Source organism: Homo sapiens, chromosome 15 (assembly GCF_000001405.40).
Source record: "Homo sapiens chromosome 15, GRCh38.p14 Primary Assembly".
Lineage (NCBI taxonomy): Eukaryota > Metazoa > Chordata > Mammalia > Primates > Hominidae > Homo > Homo sapiens.
The window spans coordinates 38,669,351-38,690,090 of NC_000015.10; the positions used below are offsets into that span (position 1 = coordinate 38,669,351).

General features: G+C 42.7%; 1 long non-coding RNA gene across 1 annotated transcript, besides 4 other annotated features; it reads left to right on the forward strand.

Annotated features, from left to right (window-relative positions):
* Positions 1,067-1,136: an enhancer, noted in NCBI's record as "active region_9210". NCBI's record gives its function as "activates an Ori minimal core promoter by ATAC-STARR-seq in GM12878 lymphoblastoid cells {active_cell/tissue: GM12878}" and the evidence as "EXISTENCE:reporter gene assay evidence [ECO:0000049][PMID:35858748]".
* Positions 2,270-2,389: an enhancer, noted in NCBI's record as "active region_9211". NCBI's record gives its function as "activates an Ori minimal core promoter by ATAC-STARR-seq in GM12878 lymphoblastoid cells {active_cell/tissue: GM12878}" and the evidence as "EXISTENCE:reporter gene assay evidence [ECO:0000049][PMID:35858748]".
* On the forward strand, positions 2,545-19,846 carry LOC105370775 (uncharacterized). The gene is made up of 2 exons (XR_007064584.1): positions 2,545-2,590; positions 19,544-19,846. It is a non-coding gene; the product is annotated as an uncharacterized LOC105370775 (long non-coding RNA).
* Positions 4,082-4,131: an enhancer, noted in NCBI's record as "active region_9212". NCBI's record gives its function as "activates an Ori minimal core promoter by ATAC-STARR-seq in GM12878 lymphoblastoid cells {active_cell/tissue: GM12878}" and the evidence as "EXISTENCE:reporter gene assay evidence [ECO:0000049][PMID:35858748]".
* Positions 5,060-5,119: an enhancer, noted in NCBI's record as "active region_9213". NCBI's record gives its function as "activates an Ori minimal core promoter by ATAC-STARR-seq in GM12878 lymphoblastoid cells {active_cell/tissue: GM12878}" and the evidence as "EXISTENCE:reporter gene assay evidence [ECO:0000049][PMID:35858748]".
* Positions 19,847-20,740: the final 894 nt, after the last annotated feature.

Here is a 20,740-nt window from a genome sequence, read left to right on the forward strand (position 1 = left end):
AAGAAACTAGTGGTTAATTCAAATTCTGCTGATTTTTTATGGGACAAATGTTTGAACAATAGTGCAATCCTGCCAAGCCAAGCATAGTAAGACCCAAGTCTAATCAGAACTGGCACTTAGGGGTTGTATATGTGTGTGTTTTGACGGAGAATGTTCATGAGACCAAGAAAGTGGGCTCCCTTTGATCATCAATCACCCTCTCACATACATTTTTTTCTTTTCTTTTCCTTTTTTTTTTTTTTTTTTTTGAGACAGAGTCTCATTCTGCTGTCTAGATTGGAGTGCAGTGGTGTGATCTTGGCTCACTGCAACCTCTACCTCCTGGGCTCAAGCCATCCTCCCACCTCAGCCTCCTAAGTAGCTGGGACTACAGGTGTGCACCACACTGTCTAATTTTTGTATTTTTTTGTAGAGATGGGTTTCACCACATTGCCCAGGGTGGTCTTGACCTCCTGAGTTCAAGCGATATGCCTGTCTTGGCCTCCCAAAGCGCTGGGATTACAGGCATGAGCCACTGTGTTTGGCCTTTTAAAAACTTTGATAAGAACCTGAGATCTAATTGTGGTAGGGAAAAGCAGAAAGGAATGGGATAAAGCAGCATCATCTTTATAGACACTCGTGTGCAGTGTATATGCAGCTTATAACACGGCCACACATCCTTAAAACTGGGATTAACTGAGGCACTTGAAGGAGAGTGTGCTGGATAATGAAGTTTGTATTTAGACAAGCGTTCACAGAAAGCTTTTGCTTTCCTACTGCTATTGAAGCTTTTGAAAAAGAAGTTTCTATGTTTTCTTCCAGTTCCAGTTGTCTATTGTTATATAACAAACTACCACACAATTTAGTGGCTTAAAACAACCACCATTTTATTTGTGAGTCATAAATTTGGAGAGGGCTCTACTAGGCAGTCATTCAGTTCTATATTGCTTCTGCTGGTTTCACTTGGCTACATTTCAAAAGGTGTTACCACATCTGGTACCTCAGTGCTATTCCACCCTGACCCTCTTTCTGTCTCTCTTATTATGGCTAGTGTGGGCTCTTCACAGACTGGTGGCCACAGGGTAGGTAGATGTCTTGCATGGTGGCTGTGTTTCAAGAAAGTGTTGCAAGTCACATAGAAAAGCTGAAAAATCTCTTAAGGGTCAGCCTTGGAAATTACTAAGTGTCACTTCTACTGCATTCTATTGGTCAAAATAACTACAAGGCCAGCCCAGATTCAAGAGAAGGGGAAATTTATGTCAACTCTCAATGGCCTCCCAATGACAAAGAATGTGTGGCCATCTTTATGGCACCACACGGAACTCACCGCCTGCAAAATCTGCATTTTGTTTGTTGATTAAGGAGTGTGTGGTACCTCCAGACCATAATTTAAGATGTGAATGATGATTGCCTAGTTCTGCAGATGCAGGAAATGTGGTGAATCCCAGCATCAGTTAAAGATGCTTTCAGCTGTGAAAAACAGAAAACCTAATTCAAATCAGTTAACGTCATATGACATTTCTTTGCTTACAAGGCAGGAAGTCCAGAGGTGGGGGGTGTTCCTCAGGGTTGGTTGAGCCAATGTCTTAGTGATGTCATTAAGTGATGTCTCATTACTCTCATTCTCTTCTGTGACATTCCCAGGGTTGGCTGGTTGGCTTCATCCTAAGTCTGGCTCTTCTTACGGTGGGATGGCTATCAGTAGTCATTGTGGCTGCTTTCTTTCTTATTCACATTCAGTGAGAGAGAGACTACTATTTGTGGTTCTTTCTTAAAACTGAGAAAGAAGCTTCCAGAAGACATTATCAAATCTATTCTCTAGTCTTATTGACCAGAATTGGCTCACATGGCCATTTCTGAACCAATCACTGCCAAGAGGAAAGTGATATTCATATGCTAGTTTGTCCCATTCTGGATCTGAGGGTGGGATCAGCATCTTTGAGACATGGGCTGTAGGAAACAAAAATCAAAGTGGGGATTATATTGGTAAAAAAAAAAAGAAGGCAATCGATTTTGTATATGCAACCAAGAATGTCATTGTATTGCTTTAAAAATAATTTTGGGGCATCGATTCATTTTCCTAAGAGAAAAAATAAAAATTCCTTTTGAGAGTTCAGTTTAGGGAGAAATTAATTGTAGAACGAGCAACATTATGGAGACAGACCTGGTTAGAATTCTGTTTTCCTACTGAGAGAGTAATCTCCCTAAAGTCTCCATCTTCCCTCCGTTGAACCAGGATAACAGTACATGCTTCTTAGGGTCAGAATTAAAAAGTGATAATGTGTGCAGGATACCAAGACAAAGTAAATAGTCCTAATTTGAGAATACATGAGTACACAAATGGGAGGTTCCCCTGATCAGACAGTGGGGTATTTCCGAAGGTCTATGGGTGGAGGGGATGTGGAGCACAGTCGTATCTGAAAGCTCAGAATGCAAACTTTCGCAACTAGAACCATCTGGAGTGAGAGGGGTGGTGATACAGAGCTGGGACAGATTTCTCTGGGTGTTTCCTCCCCTACAGCATGTTTTTTAGAAGTGAAATCAGGTTACGAAGAGCACTAAGGCAGCTTTGAAGGGGAAGTCCTGAGAGAACAGGCTGCAGCTTCGGGGTGTGAGTATGTGTTGTATGCTTGTTGGGGACTGGGGGTGTGGAGAACAGCAGGCCCACTTACTTGGCCTTGCCTGATGGCAGATTAGGTCAATAGTGGATGGCCTCACCTCCTCCACAACTCCTGCCTCTGAGTCACCTCTCAGCCAGGGAACATATGGCAATGTCATGAAGCTCAGGCTATGCTCTGGGCCCATTTACCCAACCCAAAGCATGATTACTCTGTATCTCTCTGAGTCTCATTGTTCCCCACCTCCTACAAAGGAAGAGTACTCTCTCCCTCCCTCTCTATTGTTCCCTCCCAGTGCCGGCAGGGCCTTTATCCTCTGTGAGTATGTTTGGAAACTAAAGTAAGAGATTCTTGGGGAGAAGTTTCCATCCAGGCATCATTCACTCAATTTTTTTTTGCATGTGTGTTACCTTAGCCAATGTGCCAGTGTATTTGATGCTCTACAAGAGGTAGAAGTGAGAGGTACTGTGTTCTTCAAAGGTGAAAAATAAGCCCCAGATGTTTCAAACAGCAGCTGAGTCACAAAACACTTTCAAAAATGTCCTCTGACTAGCCCAGACGATGCAGAAAGATAATGTGAAAAATATTCACCTTAAAGAGGAGGATTTTAATGTTGCCCATAAAGTTAATCATATTTCAAATGTTTGAGACAATTTTTGGTATGTTTTAGGGAGACACCAGACCTGAAATGAATGCTAGAGGCTGGCTGAGTTGCAACAAAAGAGCAGGGAATCTTTTAATAGTGAATGTCAATAGGCAGCAGGCCATCTCCATGCCTTCTGCCCTCTTTGTCTTTACAAACACCATAAGGTAGGTGTGAATATCCCATTTCACAGAAGAGGAAACTGGGGTTTAGGGAGTCAATGTCAGACAGTAGTGATTGACCAAGTCAATCGCAGTTTGTGTGTTACACCAGTTCCCATTGATACAATAACGTTTGTTCATCCATGTTTAGCTCATCGTATAAGATGAGTTAATCACAAATAGGGAAACGTGAGTTCCTGCCCTAGCTCTGCCCCCTTACTAACAGGTAGGCGCTGGGTGAATGCCATTTCCTCTCTCTGGGTGAATGGGCTGACTAGATGGTCTCTGAAAGCAGAATCAGCTCTGAAAAGTCAAGGTTGCGTTAGCTCTTTTGCATCCTCATCCGTGTGCTCTTTTAGCTCAGTCATGCCCATCTGGTCTCCTGAAGGGGTGTGGCTGGGCAGAGCCTCATGTAAATATTTGGGTGGAAGGAGAGCCTCATGAGATGTTTCTTGACCGGGAGAGCCGCCTTGACCAGGCCTCCCAGGGGGCAGCCACTGGGAGTGGTTTCTCTCCATGAATCACCTGGGGCTGCAATGTGGGAGCCCTTTCTGCTTTCACCGTAAAAATCACGTTGCTGAATGCATGTAGATTAAAAAATAAATGAGATTTCTTTGCTTTGAGGTATTATGAAACATAACATGTATTCCTAAAAACAATTTTGCTATTTGTGTAAGGCAATGTGTAAATGAGGTCACACTGGCATGCCCTGGCTGTTTACAGACTGTGAGAGGTGGAGTCAGAGAGTGAAGCAAGCGGGTGAGGTTCATGGACCGGCTTCTCAGGGATGGTGGCTTTGAGAAAGGGAAGGAAAGTTCTAGGCATCACATAGCTGTTTGAAACATTTTTATGATAGATTAAAGCTAAAAAGCCGGTGGAGGAGGAAAAATGCAAAGGACAAACTATGAAGACAATGAAGATACTTGTTAAAACTGGGATTTGGGCTTGGCACGGTGGCTCATGCCTATTATCCCAGCACGTTAAGAGGCCAAGATGGGCGGATCACCTAGGTCAGGAGTTCGAGACCAGCCTGACCAACATGGCAAAACCCCGTCTCTACTAAAAATACAAAAGTTAGCTGGATGTGGTGGCAGGTGCCTGTAATCTCAGCTATTGGGGAGGCTGAGGCAGGAGAATTGCCTGAACCTGGGAGGCAAAGGTTGTGGTGAGCTGAGATTATGCCACTGCACTCCAGCCTGAGTGACAGAGTGAGACCCTGTTTCAAAAAAATAATAATAATAATTTTAAATAAATTGAGATTTGTAGGTCAAAGAGGTCAACTTGGGATCTGCTGTAATCCCACCACTTTGTGAGGCCAAGGCAGGCAGATCACGAGGTCAGGAGTTCGAGGCCAGACTGACCAACATGGTTTGAAACCCCGTCTCTACTAAAAATACAAAAATTAGCCAGGCGTGGTGGTGCATGCCTGTAATCCCAGCTACTCAGGAGGCTGAAACAGGAGAATCACTTGAACCCGGGAGGCGGAGGTTGCAGTGAGCCGAGATTGCACCATTGCACTGCAGCCTGGGCAACAGAGCAAGACTCTGTCTCAAAAAAAAACAAAAAAAAAAAAAGAGAGAGAGAGAAAATGAAAATGCAGAATTCACTCTGAGTTCTGAATACTTAGGCTTAATAAGTTTTCATGGCAGCAGCTGTTTCTAAGGTACATGGGGTGAAAATCATATGACCTTCTTGCCAATATAAAATATACAAAATAAAAAACCCAGCACTGACCCGCTAGTATAAAGTGGAGGTAAAGCCTACCTTTGTCTAAACTGAAAGCCACAAGACATAGGAAGATGTTCTCGCCTACCTAATGGGGGATTTCCTTTAACAGCATCTATGACAAATGGATATTAGCCTTTTTGTGAACAATTCCTGTGATGAGAAGCTTAACTACCATTCAAGGTACCCCAGTGACCTGTTGTTGAAAGATGTTCCTCTTTATATAGAGCTGAAAACTGCCTCCCAGTAATTTCCACCCACGAGTTCTAATTCTGGAACTGTACATGGAAAGTCTATTTCCCCTTTCAGATGACAGACCTAATATTGTATGACCATTATTTGTCCCGCTTTTTCTTCTCTCTTCCTTCTCCTAAGTCTGTTTCTAGGCCTGAATTCTCTCAATTGCTTCTCAGTCTTAAATGTCTCCCAGATCCTTCTTCTAGAGATGCCCTACATTTCAGTATCCCAGCTAAAGAAAGTTATCGGGGATGAACAGAAGATTACAGATGGATTGGGTCTGGTGGCTCATGCCTGTAATCCCAGCATTTTGGGAGGCCGAGGCAGGAGGATTACTTGAGCCCAGGAATTCAAGACCAGCCCTGGCAAAACAGTGAGACTTGTCTCTACAAAACAACCACAACAACAAAAATTAGCCAGGTGTGGTGCTATGTGCCTATAGTACCAGCTATTTGGGAGGCTGAGGTGGGAGGATTGCTTGAGCCTGGGAGGTGGGGGCTTCAGTGAACCATGATTGTGCCTCTGCACTCCAGCCTGGCTGACAGAGAGAGACTCTGTCTCACAAATAAAAAAAAAGTAAAGTAAAAACAAAATATTACAGATGGGCCTGCTGGGCATAGAGGCCAGTGGAGCTATGTCTTTTGAGCTGGGCATTGATGCTATTGTGGCTGGTTAGTCTCAATATCTTATAGTAACTGAAAGAACTAGACACAAAAGCTTACAGTCTGATTCCATTTATATGAAATCAGGAATAAGCCAAACAAACCCTTGGTGATGAAAATCAGAAAGTTATTTCTCTGGGGAGAAATAAGGGTAAATTCATTGGAAAGGCGCACAAGGGAATTTTCTGCAATGATAGAAATGTTCCTTATTTAGTTTGGGATAGAAGACTCATGGGTTTACAGTTCTCAAAATTCATCAATTTGATGTCTAATTTGTATATTTTACTGTATGTAAGTTGTACTTTAAAGAAAGCTCATATTTTTCATACGGCAAACTGTTGTTTCCTCAAAATTTCTTTTCATTTATTTAGCTTGAGATATTTACAAGATAAAAAAGTGCCACAAATGTATATATCAAGAAGAGCAGCTGCCTGCTTTTCTATTGAAAGCCAATTAAGCGTGCACTGATTTTTCTTCTATATCATGCACTTCCACTTTTGTGCTGAAAGAAAAGTAAAACAAAATCTCAATCACAAGTAATATTTGAATGCCAACTACCTTCATAAAAACTAATTGCTCCTCGGAATTTCATTAAAACACAACGATTATAAAGTGATTAGAAAAATCTCTTTGCTGAACTGAAAGATGACCTATATGCCCATGGAATACAGGGAAGCAGTACTTTTTAAACAAATGTTAATTAAATAAAAGCACATGGTGATAGAGGTTTCTTTATAGGTTCTGCAGTACAAAGAGGAGGTCTTTTTAAAAAGCAAATTTTCAAAGACTTTCTTTTCTATTATTTTTGACTGAGAATTTGAACGTTAGCTCAGCCCACTAAAGCGGCAAGAGACACATTTTCCAGAGATCAGAAAGAACTCTCTCTTCAGTCAGTAATTGGGACCATTTTCAAAGTTTAGCCCCCAAGTGATCCAAATCCTTGATTAAAGAAAAAAGCCAGTGGAGCCCCATAACCCCAGTCTTACCACAATAAAACAACAGACCAATTCCATTATAGGCGCATCCTTTGATACACCTGACCGGTACTCCTCAGAACTGTCAAGGTCATCAAAAACAAGGTAAGTCTAAGAAACTGCCACAGTTAAGAGGAGCCTAAGCAGACATAAGGACTAAATGTCCTATGTACCCTGGGTGGAATTCTGAAACACAAAAAGGACATTAGGGAAAAACTGAGGCAATTGGAAGGAAAAAAAAAACCCATGATCTTTCATGAATAATAATGTATTAATATTACTTCATTAATTATAACAAATATATTTAATATTCTAATGTAAGATGTTAATAATAGGGGAAACTGGGTGAGACGGGCATGAGAACCTTCTGTGCCACCTTCTCAATTTTTGTAGTCTAAAATTAGGTCTAAAAAATAGGCTACTAAACAGTTTGCATAGTATTAAAAAAAGTCCAGAAGGTTACCCACCAAAATTTTTTCAGAGTTTACGTATTTCCAGAAAGAGATGAAAGTCTTTTTTTTTAATATACGAAAAAAAGGCCACAGCAGCAGGTGCTTCTACCCTGAACCCTTTGCATACTTCTTCGGGAATTGGGGAGGGCAGTATTAGTTTCTGATGTATACTTTGACTCTGCAAGGACTCACACCTGATGAATATGAGTTTGAGTTTTGATCCTAAATCAAGTGTTCCATATTTTGGCCAACATTTGGTAATGCTAGTCTTTTTGATATGAGTAACTTTAGTGGGAATGGTGTCTCATCTTGGTTTTAATTTGTATTTTCCTGATGACAACTGATGTTAACAGCTTTTTATATTTTTATTGGCCATTTGTAGATTCTCTTTTGCAAAGTCCTTCCTTCTGGGAACTTGGCTTCACCTTCCATCATTGGGTTCCAAGTCTAAAACCTGGGTTAGTTCCAATAACTGGGCAAGAAATCATGGATTTTTTATTGGGGCAACTGCCCTCTGTTTTTTTTTTTTTTCCTTCCTCCCTCCCTTCCTTCCTTCCTTCTTTTTTTTCTTTCTTCCTTCCTTCTCTCTGTCTCTCTCTCTCTCTTTTCACAGGGTCTCATTCTCTCACCCAGGCTGCTCACACAGATCACTGCAGCCTCAACCTACTGAGCTCAAGCAATCCTCCTGCCTCAGCCACCCGAGTAGCTGGGGCTACAGGCGTGCACCTCCATGCCCAGTTAATGTTTGTATTTTTTTTTTTTTTTTTTTTTTTTTTTTGTAGAGACAGGGTCTTACTGTGTTGCCCATGCTCATCTTTAACTCCTGGCCTCAAGTGATCCACCCACCTCAGCCTCCCAAAATGTTGGGATTACTGGCATGGGTCACTGTGCCCAGCCCCTTCAGTGTCTTGATCATTCATTTTTGGTTTGTTTTGATGGTGAATTGAAGAGTTCTTTGTTAACTGTCCATCTATTTTGCCCCTAGGCATGCTGTGTTTTCTTAACCTTCTCCATGGCTGTCTTGGCCTGGCCCTCTGGACTGCTCCAACTTTGCTGTTCATTGTGATCATTGGATCTATCTGATTTTTGACAGCTACACATCATCATCTGTCCTCTATTCCCCCTACCCCCACTGGGTAGCAGGGTGATTGTGATCATCTCTATTGCTATCAGTTAGCTTAGTTCTGTGTTCTGTGATCACCTTTTCTACCGTTACCGATGACCTACGAAGAAGAGGCATCACTGTGCTTTTTAGTGATGCTGGTGTGCCTGCATCTGTACTGCTTATGGCTTTCCTGTGCACTGTAATCATTTGGTGAGTATCCTGGCCTCACGTGGTAGATCTACTCCAGCATGCCCACTTCTGTGAATCTTTCAATCCCTTCTTCCAGCAGCTGCTAGAGTAATTCTGGCATTTCACCCTCCCTTAGTGGGAGCCATTGCTTTTCCCATGCATCTAAGAAGTAGCCTAGAGACTAGAATATACCATTGCTTAGGGTCCTTGCCAGAATGTTCAAATCTGCATTTCAGAAACATACTCCTAAACCAATAAACTTTTTATAAGCCAAAAATAAAATTATAAGTCGCTCAATTGATTGAATCGATCCCTTCTCTCTGCCAAGTGAATTCCCAAGTAAACCTGAAAAACTAGTTCAAGCCATGATGGAAAGGGGGAGTTGGGCATGCCTCATTAGACACTCCTCTCCCTTTGGAGTTCAGGCACAACTGACCAGCATTAAGATTGAAACAGAGATCTTAAGACTGACAAAACAGACTGTTTGTAGCAATAAGATACTAAATTCCAACTTGACTCTAGGATAACATCACATGACAGATAGCAGGCCTTGAAAGCAGTCAGAATATTTTACTCCAAAATATATTTCTTTGACATATTTTGAAATGGCCATGCAAAGCTGTCTCTTAAGGGGAAAATCTACATTTTGTAGAGAATCCCTTTCCCTTTCCAGGTCTTTTCCTGATACAGGAGAGATTACCAATCTAGTGCCTTTTTAGGTCTGACAAGAGACATTTACCCTCTATTCTCTCTGAAGCCTGCTTCCTAGAGGCTTCATCTACATAATAAGAACCTTGGTCTCCACAACACTTTATCTTAACCCAGACACTGCTTTCTATTGATTCCAAGTCTTTAGATTAATAACTCTTGCAACCAACTGCCAGTCAGAAAATCTTTGAATCCACCTATGACCTGGAAGCCCCTCACCCCCAACTTTGAGTTGTCTCATCTTTCCAGACTGAGCCAATGTACACCTTACATGTATCGATTAATGTCTGCCTGTAACTCTGTCCCCCTAAAATGTATAAAATCAAGCTGTAACCCAACCACCTTGGGCATATGTTCTCAGGACCTCGTGAGACTATGCCTTGAACCTTCATCACTTGTATTTGGCTCAGAATGAATCCCTTCAAATATTTTACAGAGTTTGACTTATTTTGTCGACATTTTTCTTATTCAGTATTATGTTCTAGCCTCTTTGATCAAGTAACTCAGAATCCAGTCCCATGTGTGGACATGCTAGGTGGATCTCCTTGGTGTGTAGTCCCTTTTCTCTTTTGCTGGGCCCAGCACATCTGCAGCTGGGTTAAGCTGCAACTTATTCCTAATTAGAAGACACAGTTAGAGGCCCAGTGGCCTGGAGGGGAGATAGAGGCCTGTGCATTGTCTTCAAGTAGGAGTGGTCCTAGCTCTTAACAGAGAGAGGTGGTTCACTTTCTTCTTCAGATGGAAAAGATTTAGAGGAATCTGGGAACTCAAGAGTGTAGGGAAAATCAACCCATATATTCCATTTCACCTCACAGGTCAGGATTCATTTTTCCCCAACCACATTCCTAACTTTGACATAACAGACCTGCCTTGATTAAGAGTTTTAGCCCTCCCTGGAGTTCTGGCAAAAATCACCACTAAGACATGGGTCTGTACCTGGGCCTCAACTTTTCCTGCCCTCTCTCTTCAGGTGAGGAAAGCCTCTTTACCTTCCTAAAGACCCTCTGACTTTAACGCTGGCTTTCAATAGCCTATTAATTGCTCTCAGCCTTTTGTTGAGCTAAATTCTTTCTGTAAAGCTTCAATGGAGTATAGCAACACCGTCCTATCTCACTTCCCTAAGATTACTCTTTCCCCTATATTATTCTAACACTGAGTACATAGCACCAGCTATTGTACTCCCTTTTCCCTATGCACCATTCTAATTCACCACAGAGGAAGTTTTAGTCATTGGAACAGGGGCTGTCTGTGCTCCTCTGCCTCCAGTGATGGGGTCTTCATTGCTAGCCAGGTGATGAGTGAGCCTGCTCCTAAGCATCATTTCATTGCCTGCTTTCTTGGACCACTCTTGGCACTGTTGGGATGCTTCAGAGGCTGAATTCTCTGGGAAGCAGACTCTGAGATAAAGGTCAGTCTGCAGGATATTTATTAGGGAGTGTCCCTGAGACCATTTGTGGAAGGACAAAGGAGAAAGCAGGATTGAGTAGTAGAATTATTCATTTAAAATTTTATATTACAAGAATTATACGATCATTGCAGAAAACTTAGCAAATAAAGAGATGTAAAGGAAGTAAATTTCTCCCACAATCCCAACACTGTTAATCTTTTGAGGAAATTTTTTTATGCATTCTTTTTTCTTTTTGAGGCACAGTCTCACTCTGTCACCCAGGCTGGAGTGCAGTGGCATGATCTTGGCTCACTGCAACCTCCGCCTCCTGGGTTCAAGCGATTCTCCTGCTCCAGCCTCCTAAGTAGCTGGGATTACAGGCATGCACCACCATGCCTGGCTAATCTTTGTATATTTAGTAGAGATGGGGATTCACCATGTTGATCAGGCTGGTCTCAAACTCTTGACCTCATGATCCGCCCGCCTCAGCCTCACAAAGTGGTGGGATTACAGGTGTGAGCCACCGTGCCTGGCCATTTTTTATACATTCTTATATGCATGTATATATAATTCCTTTTAAAATAATGGTTTCAAACTGTACTTAATGTTTCATAATCGACTTTTCTCATGCATATATTATGAACATTTTTCATGACAGCGAATACAATCTATTTTGTCATTTTAGTAGCTGCAGAGAGAGGCTTACACATCCTATGAAAGGTTGTGTAATGTAAATTTAAGAGAGCTGACTCAGACCAGACCGCCTAGATGCAGATATTAGCTCTGCATTGACTAGCTTTATGACCTGGTTAGCGAACCTCTCTGTTCCTCAGTTCCATCATCTGTGAAATGCTGACAGTAATTGTAGTACCTATCTGTTGGGAGGCTTAGATGAGTTAATATATGCAAGGAGTTAAGAACAGAGCCAGGCGTTCTATAAGTGCTATGTAGGTGGTGTTAGTGCTTTCTATAAAACACCATCATTTAATTGACCAAAGTCCCTTCATTCTGATTTTTTTTTTGTTTTTTTTTTTTGGATAATGTTGTGATGGATTCTCTTCTTCTTTCTTCTTCTTCTTCTTCTTCTTCTTCTTCTTCTTCTTCTTCTTCTTCTTCTTCTTCTTCTTCTTCTTCTTATTCTTCCTCTTCCTCTTCTTCTTCTTCCTCTTCTTCCTCTTGTTTTGATGGATTCTCTTCTTCTTCTTCTTCTTCTTCTTTTTCTTCTTCTTCCTTCTTCCTTCTTCCTCTTCCTCTTCCTCTTCTTCTTTTTTTTTGAGACAGAGTCTCACTCTGTCACCCAGGCTGGAGTGCAGTGGTGCCATCTCGGCTCACTGCAAGCTCCGCCTCCTGGGTTCATGCCATTCTCCTGCCTCAGTCTCCTGAGTAGCTGGGACTGCGGGCGCCCGCCACCACGCCTGGCTAATTTTTTGTATTTTTAGTAGAGATGGGGTTTCACCGTGTTAGCCAGGATGGTCTCGTCTCCTGACCTCGTGATCCACCTGCCTCGGCCTCCCAAAGTGCTGGGATTACAGGTGTGAGCCAGCGCGCCCGGCCAATAGATACACTTCTTCTTGGGGTGGGTCAGGGACATTTGTTTGCCTATTCCCTCAGATACCTTCCTAGAATTAAGATTGCTGTGCTAAAAGGCAAGTGCATTAAAAAAAATTTTTTTTTGATATTTGTTGCCAGACAAGCCAATTACATCATTCGTTGAACCAATTTCCAGAAACAGCGCGATAGTATTTTCTCATACTATCGCCAACACAAGTATAATCATACGTATAAACACTTGTTAGTCTGCTAAGTGGAAAATGAGGTTTTAATTTACATTTATTACTAGAGGGGTTGAACTTTTCATAATTTTGTCCATTCTGTTTCTTTTTTCAAATGGCTACTTATGGCCTCTGCCTATTTTTCCAATGAGTGTTACTTTTTTTTAATATAAAATAACTATACATTAAGCGTACTTGTATTAGTCCGTTTTCACACTGCTAATAAAGACATACCCGATACTGGAAAGGAAAAGAGGTTTAATTGGACTTACAGTTCCATGTGGCTGGGGAGGCCTCAGAGTCATGGCAGGAGGTGAAAGGTACTTCTTATACTTCTTACATGGTGGCGGCAAGAGAAAAATGAGGAAGAAGCAAAAGCAGAAAACCCTGATAAGTCCATCAGATCTCGAGAGACTTATTCACTGTCATGAGAATATCATGGGAAAGATGAGCCCCCATGATTCGATTACCTCCCCCTAGGTCCCTCCCACAACATGTGGAAATTCTGGGAGATACAATTCAAGTTGAGATTTGGGTGGGGACACACCCAAACCATATCAGTATTCTATCACGTTTTGCAAATCTTACATATAAAGCTGACTCATGAAACTTTAATATTGAAGTTTGAGTTAGGCATTATAGCTAGGTTGGGTATGAAAGAGATTACTTTTAAGGGGACTAGTGAACCTTGGTGAAGGGTATGTGGAAGTTCTTTCTATGATTCTTCCATTTTTTTCTCTTGTTTGAAATTATATCAAAATAAGAAGCTCCAACAACCCCCCACTCCACACACACAGCAAATTGATTTATGGGGTAATTGGTGCCCCCACTAACCACACAGCTACCTACCTATTTTTTTTTTCCATTATGTTCGTGGCTGTTGTAATAGAGAGACCCCACGGCCATGTCTGTGGGCAGCCTGGGAAAAGTCTACAAGCTACCCCTACTGAGATCAGCTACATCAAGCTCTGCTCTCCCCTGGCCAGAACCTGGGTCTGCTGAAATAATCATACCCTTTTGGTCTGCTATCATGTGCTCAGTATGCTGCTTGAAACGCTTAAGACCCTGTAGGCCTTCCTAGCCTCTTTGGTTAGGAAGTCCCCTCCTTCTCACTGGTCCCAGGAGGATAGGGGGTGGCAATGCAGCTTGCTTCTGTTTCCTCCATCCCTCATCTGTCTGTGCTGCTTATGCAAAGGCCTACTCACTTAGAGGAGAAAGACTCCACTCTTAGTTCCATCTCTGCAGCTAGAAAGTTAGTCCTTAGGCAGACTGACATACCTGCAGAAACAACCCCCCAACTCTTTATGGCTTAATTCAATAAAAATTTGTGCTACCTATCCAACATGAGCTGTGGAGGATTGGGGTCAAGAAGCATGGGGTTAGTGATGATTCTATGATGGCTGTCCTCCACATACTTACCCAGGGATTCAGTCTAGCAGAGGCTCTGCCACCCATCATGTTACCAGCTACCACAGCAAAGGAAGAGACAAGCATAGAGAAATTATACTCACTTTTCTCTACCTTGGCTCTAAGGGGTCACATATGATTTTCACTCACATCTCATTGGCCTCAATGGTCACAAGGCCTTGCCTAACTGCAAGGTGGCTGGAGAATGCAGGGAGGGCCATAGAACATGTGTGAACCTTGCTGTCTCTGCCCGCTCCCAGGATTAGCCTCTGGACACTTCCTCTCAGCATTGTCATTCAAATATTTATAATATTTTGTTTAAGGTCTGCCTTCCTGCTTGACTCAGAGAGAGAGGTTGGGACCCTGTCTTTTTTGTTCACTACTGGATTCTTAATGCCTAGCAAGGTGTCTGGCACATAGTATACCAACAGAGTTGTGACTTCTGGTGCCATCCAGTGGCAGCACACACATATTACAGGAGCAGACACTTTTAAATGATGTAGAGACTAAGGACCAGGATTTCAATTATTTCTGGAAGATGCAAGTGGGAGTGTGGGGAAGTGAAACAGAGTGTTAGAAAATAAAAGATTTTCCAACATTTTGGTAGACAAGTGCTCCAGAGTGAGATTCTCTTGGGGTCATAGCACAGCTTTCCTATCAGTTCTGGCCCACCTCAGTTTCTCTCTTCTCAGGTTTGGCTGGTGAAAGAGCTACTGGAGTAGCCCGGGTTTCCAGAGTTGTCAGGACACAAAATGAGTTAAAATGACACACCAAAGAAAATTCAAGAATCTACCCATAGCTGCTAAATCAGTTGCAAAACAAATCAATTCAGTGGTCTACCTCCACTCTGGCCTGCCCACCTCCAGGGAACAGAACACAAATAAAGCCAGTGACTTTTTTTTTTTTTTCTTCAAGTATATCACTTTTTCCAGACCCGTGTTCAAATGGCTTTTGTTAAAGCTGAAAACATTCAAGGTAAAGAACCATGTTAAGGAGGCTTCTAAAAAATTATCCGGCCCCAAACCTTGAGATTTCCGAGAAGTGCCAGGGCCATCTCTGGCTGCCGACTGCTGTGTCAGATGAAAGATAATGACCCCGGGGCAGATGAAGGGTTTTAAAGAGTAAAGCTTAATCGAAGGTAATAGTGGAAGACAGGAAAAATTGCAGAATGGTAATGGAAAGAGTGCATTAGTGAGGTTTCTGCACTGTCACCCTTTACCCAGGGACTCTGGGCTCTTCCATGTAAGTGGCCCCTTGCTCTCTGGAATCCATTATCTCCCCAGGATGCCTATGATGTGCTTAGTGAGATGGAAACAGTGGTGCCTGACTGCTGGCTCTGGGCAAGAGAACCTAAGGAAAACAACATTTCCCAGAAAATAAGAAACAAAACACAACTGAGTTAAACAATGAAGAAAGCAAGCTTTTGATGACAAACTTTTGGCTGAGAAGTTGTGCTTTGTTTATGAGGAACTGATGAACTGGTTGAGGAAATGGTTTTGGTTTGTTTGGTGGTGAACAAAGATGTAGAAATACACCCATCTTGCAAATACCATTTCTAGGAATAAGAAAGAAAAAAAATTTGGAAGTTCACTGAAATGACAGACTTTTTGGGATCAGGGAGGACAATCTTGAATTTTTAATTAATAATAACTAACATGTATTGGGCACTTGGTAGGTGACAGACACCAGGCTAAGTGTTTTTATGAGGCTTCTCCTTCAATTCTCATGGGTACTATGTGTATGGTCTTAGAAAACAATACCCCGAAATGAAGGCCTCAAAAGCAACAGTTTCTCTCTGACTTTGTCCTTCCCTCCTGTCTCTGACCTCTCATTCTCTCCCAAGGCTAACCATAGAAACTAGAATCCCTTTTCCTCAAAGTGGGTAATAGAAGCCAGAACCCTTTTCCTCCAAGCCAGCCATAACCTAAAAATATTACTTTAACTTTCCTACTGTCTTTCTGTGTAAAAACTGGCCATGAAGAAATTATCTGACCTGCCTTGTTTGACTGTAGGTCATCAGACCCCCATCCTAGAGAGGGTCCTGCCCCACACCCAGTAGGAAGAAACACTGCACAAGACACCCAGAAGAATTGAAATGGACAGTGCTGGGATTCCCCAGTCAGTAAGTGTTAGATCAGACCCTTTCTGTCCATACTTTGTTGAACATAAGCATAAAATAGACAGTTCCCCCTGTATCTTTGGGCCTTCATGCTGAAAGTTCCGGTGTCATGTAAAACTATGATCAAATACATGTGTCTGCCTTGTCTCCTATTAATCAGCTTTTGTCAGCAATTTCCAGCGAAACATCAGAAGGTGATGGGGAAGTCTTCCCTTGGCCCCAATATCTGTTAGGTAGATGTTCCTATGACCACCATTTTAGAGGAGAAATGGGCTTAGGGAAGTTCTACAGCTTGCCCAAGGTCATGTAGCTGGGGGCCTGGGACCAGGACTCCTCCCCAGGCCACTGTCTCCAGGGTCCTGGTTGAGTCCCCTCTTCCTATTTTCTTCATTGCTTAGTCAGCAATATATTTGAACTATATTAAAATATATTTATTGTGCCGTGCTGGAGGCTGGGGACATAGCAGTGTATGAAGAAGGGGCCCTCTGTCCTCAGAAGTCATATACTTGGCTAGCCGAGGTTTTATGTGACTGGTTCTTCTGGCCCATGGTTGCCACTCCTTCCATCCTCCTCCCTCCCTGCAAACAATTTTTCTTGGCCCCACCTAACATCAAAACTCTGAGCTCAAAGGAGCCCAGAGAACAGCTAGAGGCCCCTAAGCCACCCTTTCCTGTGATGAGGTTCTAAGAATTCTTCAAAGGATTTACCCAACATGATAGGGTGACAAAGTCTGCCGAGGATCTCAAACCAGATTGAGGTGTATTTTCTTCAATGAGATGCTTTAAACTTGTTGAAACGCAGTCACTCAGTTTGCTGAAGTTTAATTATTTTTTTGCTCTGACCTAGAGAGGGAAAGTACAACAGGCAGTTCAGAGGCTCATAGGATGGCAAAGTCAGCTGGGCTCTGAATTTTCTTTCTTGCTTTGTAAATAAATATTTCCACCTACAAACACAAAAGACACTGAGAGTGGCGGGCATTTGTCGGCTAAATTGTGGAAGAGACGGCACATAAGTAATGCAGCTCAAGTAGGCCCTGAATGTGGCAAGGGTGGGAGTAACTAGGGCTTGGAGCTCTTCCTGTGTTTTAGTACGGGAGCAAGTGTACGCCGATTGGCAGCTTTCTTGGACAGAGTTCAGGACCAGGATTTGGAAGACCGGGTCACAAGGTTTTTGCTTTGTGACTAATAATCCACAATCCTTTGCACATCATTTAACTTCTCTGCCTTGGTTTCCTTCTTCACATAAGTGGGATAATAGTGCTGTTATCCTTCCTTATGGGTTTTGCTAATTAACTAAATCAATTAAATTATTTTGATATACCCTGGCCAAAGGTTTTAGTGATAAGTAGAACAAATCATATCAAAACACTGCTTTAAAAAGCTCTGGCTGAAGGATAAAGAGCCATGTTTTACCAGGCATGGTGGGAAACCACTCAAAACCCCTGTAATTGGTATCAAGATTACTTTTGCCATTACTTTTAATGTCAAAAACCACAATGACTTTTGTACCAACATAATATTTTGAAGACAAAACATTTAAGCTAAAGAAGATGCAGAAAGAAATTACTATCTGAACTTCTCTAAAAGCTGTAAAGCAGAACCTCTCAGAAAATACAGCTGTCAGTAGCCCTCCCTTGAGGTCTTCCCTGTGAATTCAGCTGCCAGGGAGATAGACTGCCCATTCTATTCACATCAAAAAGCCTGATAGAACCTTCTATACCTTCTCACTGAAGCCCTGACACTCCTCCCCAGTCCCCTAGCTAAGTTTGGTATATAAACCCTTTATCTCTGTCTATTGGGATGAGTTACTCCTCACTGAATCTCTCCGTTGCAGGTGTAAATAAACTCTTTTTTTTTTTTTGTCTTGCTCATCTGTCTTTTGTCAGTTCAATTTGCAGACCCCACAGGCTGAACGTGAGAGAGGAGAGGAAAAGTTTTTTCCTCCCCTACAACATACAAATTCCTTTACTACCCAACTGCTGCTCACCAAGTGCCCTATACTCCACCGTACACATTCATCTAGAGCTCTTAATCAAACACATGTGTTCATACTTCTGTCTGAGCTGTTTCCTTTGCCTGAGATGCCCTAATCTTCTTTGTTTGCTCTGGAGCCAGACATTGGGTTTATACCTCCCTTTCCCCACCATGACTTGTTCCCTTGAAAGCTGAATGAACTCACTCAAGTTACTTAGCTTATCTGAGCTTCTCTTCCCTCATTTCTAAGTTGGGAATAATAATAATTCCTAGTGGCACAGCTGGAGTTCTGGGAGGGGAAGAACCGGGAGCCCACCTGTTATCCCAGACATGATGGTTGTGAAGAATGAGAGGACATTCAAGGAAGCAGTGGGAAAGCTGGTTCTGTTCAACCTCCGTTTGAAACATTAGCAGTCAGAGCGAGAGATAATAGAGCAAAAGGTCAAAAGACAGTGCCTTTTTTAATGTGGTCACTCTCCTTGATAGCAGAGCCTGCCAATGCTTCTGATGTAATTGCCACACCAGCTGATACGAGGATTTAAGGAAAGGGAGTTCACGCAGCACTTGGCCCAGGTCTTGATACACAGAGCTCAGTAAGCGTTAGTTATGACTATTTTTTTTTTTATTAACTTACTCTTTTACCAGTGTTCCCATGTGCTTTATGCATAACTTACCACGGCACTTAGTTGCTTGGGAAGTTGTGTAGCCTCTTTGCACTGCAGTGTCCTCATCTGTGAGATGGGAATGCTAGCAGCACTGCTGTCTGGGGGTATCGTGAAGATGACTTGAGATGATGCATAAAGCCCTCTCAACAGGAAGCACCCAGAAGGCATCAGCCATTACAGTTGCTTGGTGGGAGGGAGCTGAGCAACACCATAAGCACAGCTGGGCCTAATGCATGTTAGGTAATTCCAAGTACATTTGGGAAGGACAAATATGTCAAGACCTACTCTAGTGAGGATCAGGAGAACTGCAGCTAGTGCTGTGGGGTGTCCACTGTGGGGAGGTGGGCACAGTTGTATGGGTGCCCTAAGCTGTAGGTCTTCTGTGCCTTACTTACCTCCTGGGTTTGACTGGAAGACTTTTAGAGAAAACACTGAAACCACCTTTGCAAAAAATTATAACAGTAAGAAAATTAAGACAGTGAAAGAGATCTGACTTGCCTGCCTCCATCTTGCACGTAACCTCCAAGCTGTCCTTGTTCATTCCTGGGCATAGGCTGAGCTGACATTGGGAGGAACCTAGTTTATAGTTTAACTTTGAAACAAAGATGATAACAGCCCTTTGCTGAAATGAACCCTCTTCTTGCCGGGGGGACCAGAATGTCTTTGTAGGACTAACAAATTAGCCACAAGATTAGAAATTATGGTGTAGGAGTCATGCAGCTAGCTAGAGGCCACAAGATTCTAAACCTTCTCAATTGCTCCTACAGATAACATCACTATTGTAAAACCTCAGATTGGTGCTCAAGATAGTTTTCAGACCCTGCACTTGATGGATCAGCTGGCACTACTCAGATCAACACACTGGCTCACCTGGTCTTGTGGCCCCCACCCAGGAAATGACTCAGCACAAGAGGACAGCTTTGACTCCCTGTGATTTCATCTCAGACCCAACCAGTCAGCTCTCCCTACTACTTGGCCCCCTACCCACCAAATTATCCTTAAAAAACCCCAGCCTCTAAATTTTGGGGGTGACTGTTTTGAGTAATAATAAAACTCTGGTATCCCATTGAGCCAGCTCTGCATGAATTAGTTAACTGTTTCTCTCTTGCAGTTCCTCTGTCTTGATAAATCAGCCTGTCTGGGCAGTGGGCAAAATGAACCCCCAACAGGAGGATTTCAAATGTAAAGGTAAGGAAAACTATTACATGTCCCTGTGTTCTGGCAGCAGGTATGAGGCTGTGCCAGCCCTCCCTCTTGCTGTGAAGTTGCCTGTGGATGGGACACTGTGAGCTATTCCAAAGAAGAATAAAGATGTGATCATTGCATTCAACTGAACCCCTTCAATGACCTGTGATTAGTCTGGGTAACATGTACTGCTCAGAAAGAAAGAGATATTGGAGATTTGTGTTTTCATCTGTCTAATTCAAAACATGCATGTGGATGAAGGGGACAAGCTCTGTCCTGGGGAGGGACAACGTACTCCTCTACCAAAGTAATTTTGTATTCTCAGTCCCCATTGGTGGCTCACACCCTCCCCACAAGTCTGACTTTGGATTTTCCCCTTTTTGGCCTACTTCCTTCTGGAGGCAACTCTGGGTGAAAGAAACCTCAAGGGGCAGGTGGTAGGAAGTCAGGCCAGGCTATTAGACTGGGGAAGGGAGAGAATATGGAGGCCAAGTCTTCCTGCTAATAGGAGATGAGGCTTTAGAAGCCACGAAAGACATAAGACTAACCAATGCTACCTGGCAATCCATTTCTATCAGCTCCAATCCTGGCTGCCTTTCAGCATTCACAGTCCAGTGCAGAGGAGGGTCTTTGAAGGTATAGGGATCAGAAAGAATTTCCTCCTTAGGTAAGATAAACTTTAATTTCTTTCTCTCTTCTCAGTAGGATTAACCTGATCTTCAAGGGAGAAAGCCAAGAGCCAGGGCAACCTTAGGTCAGGGGCTGAGGCCTCCTAAATG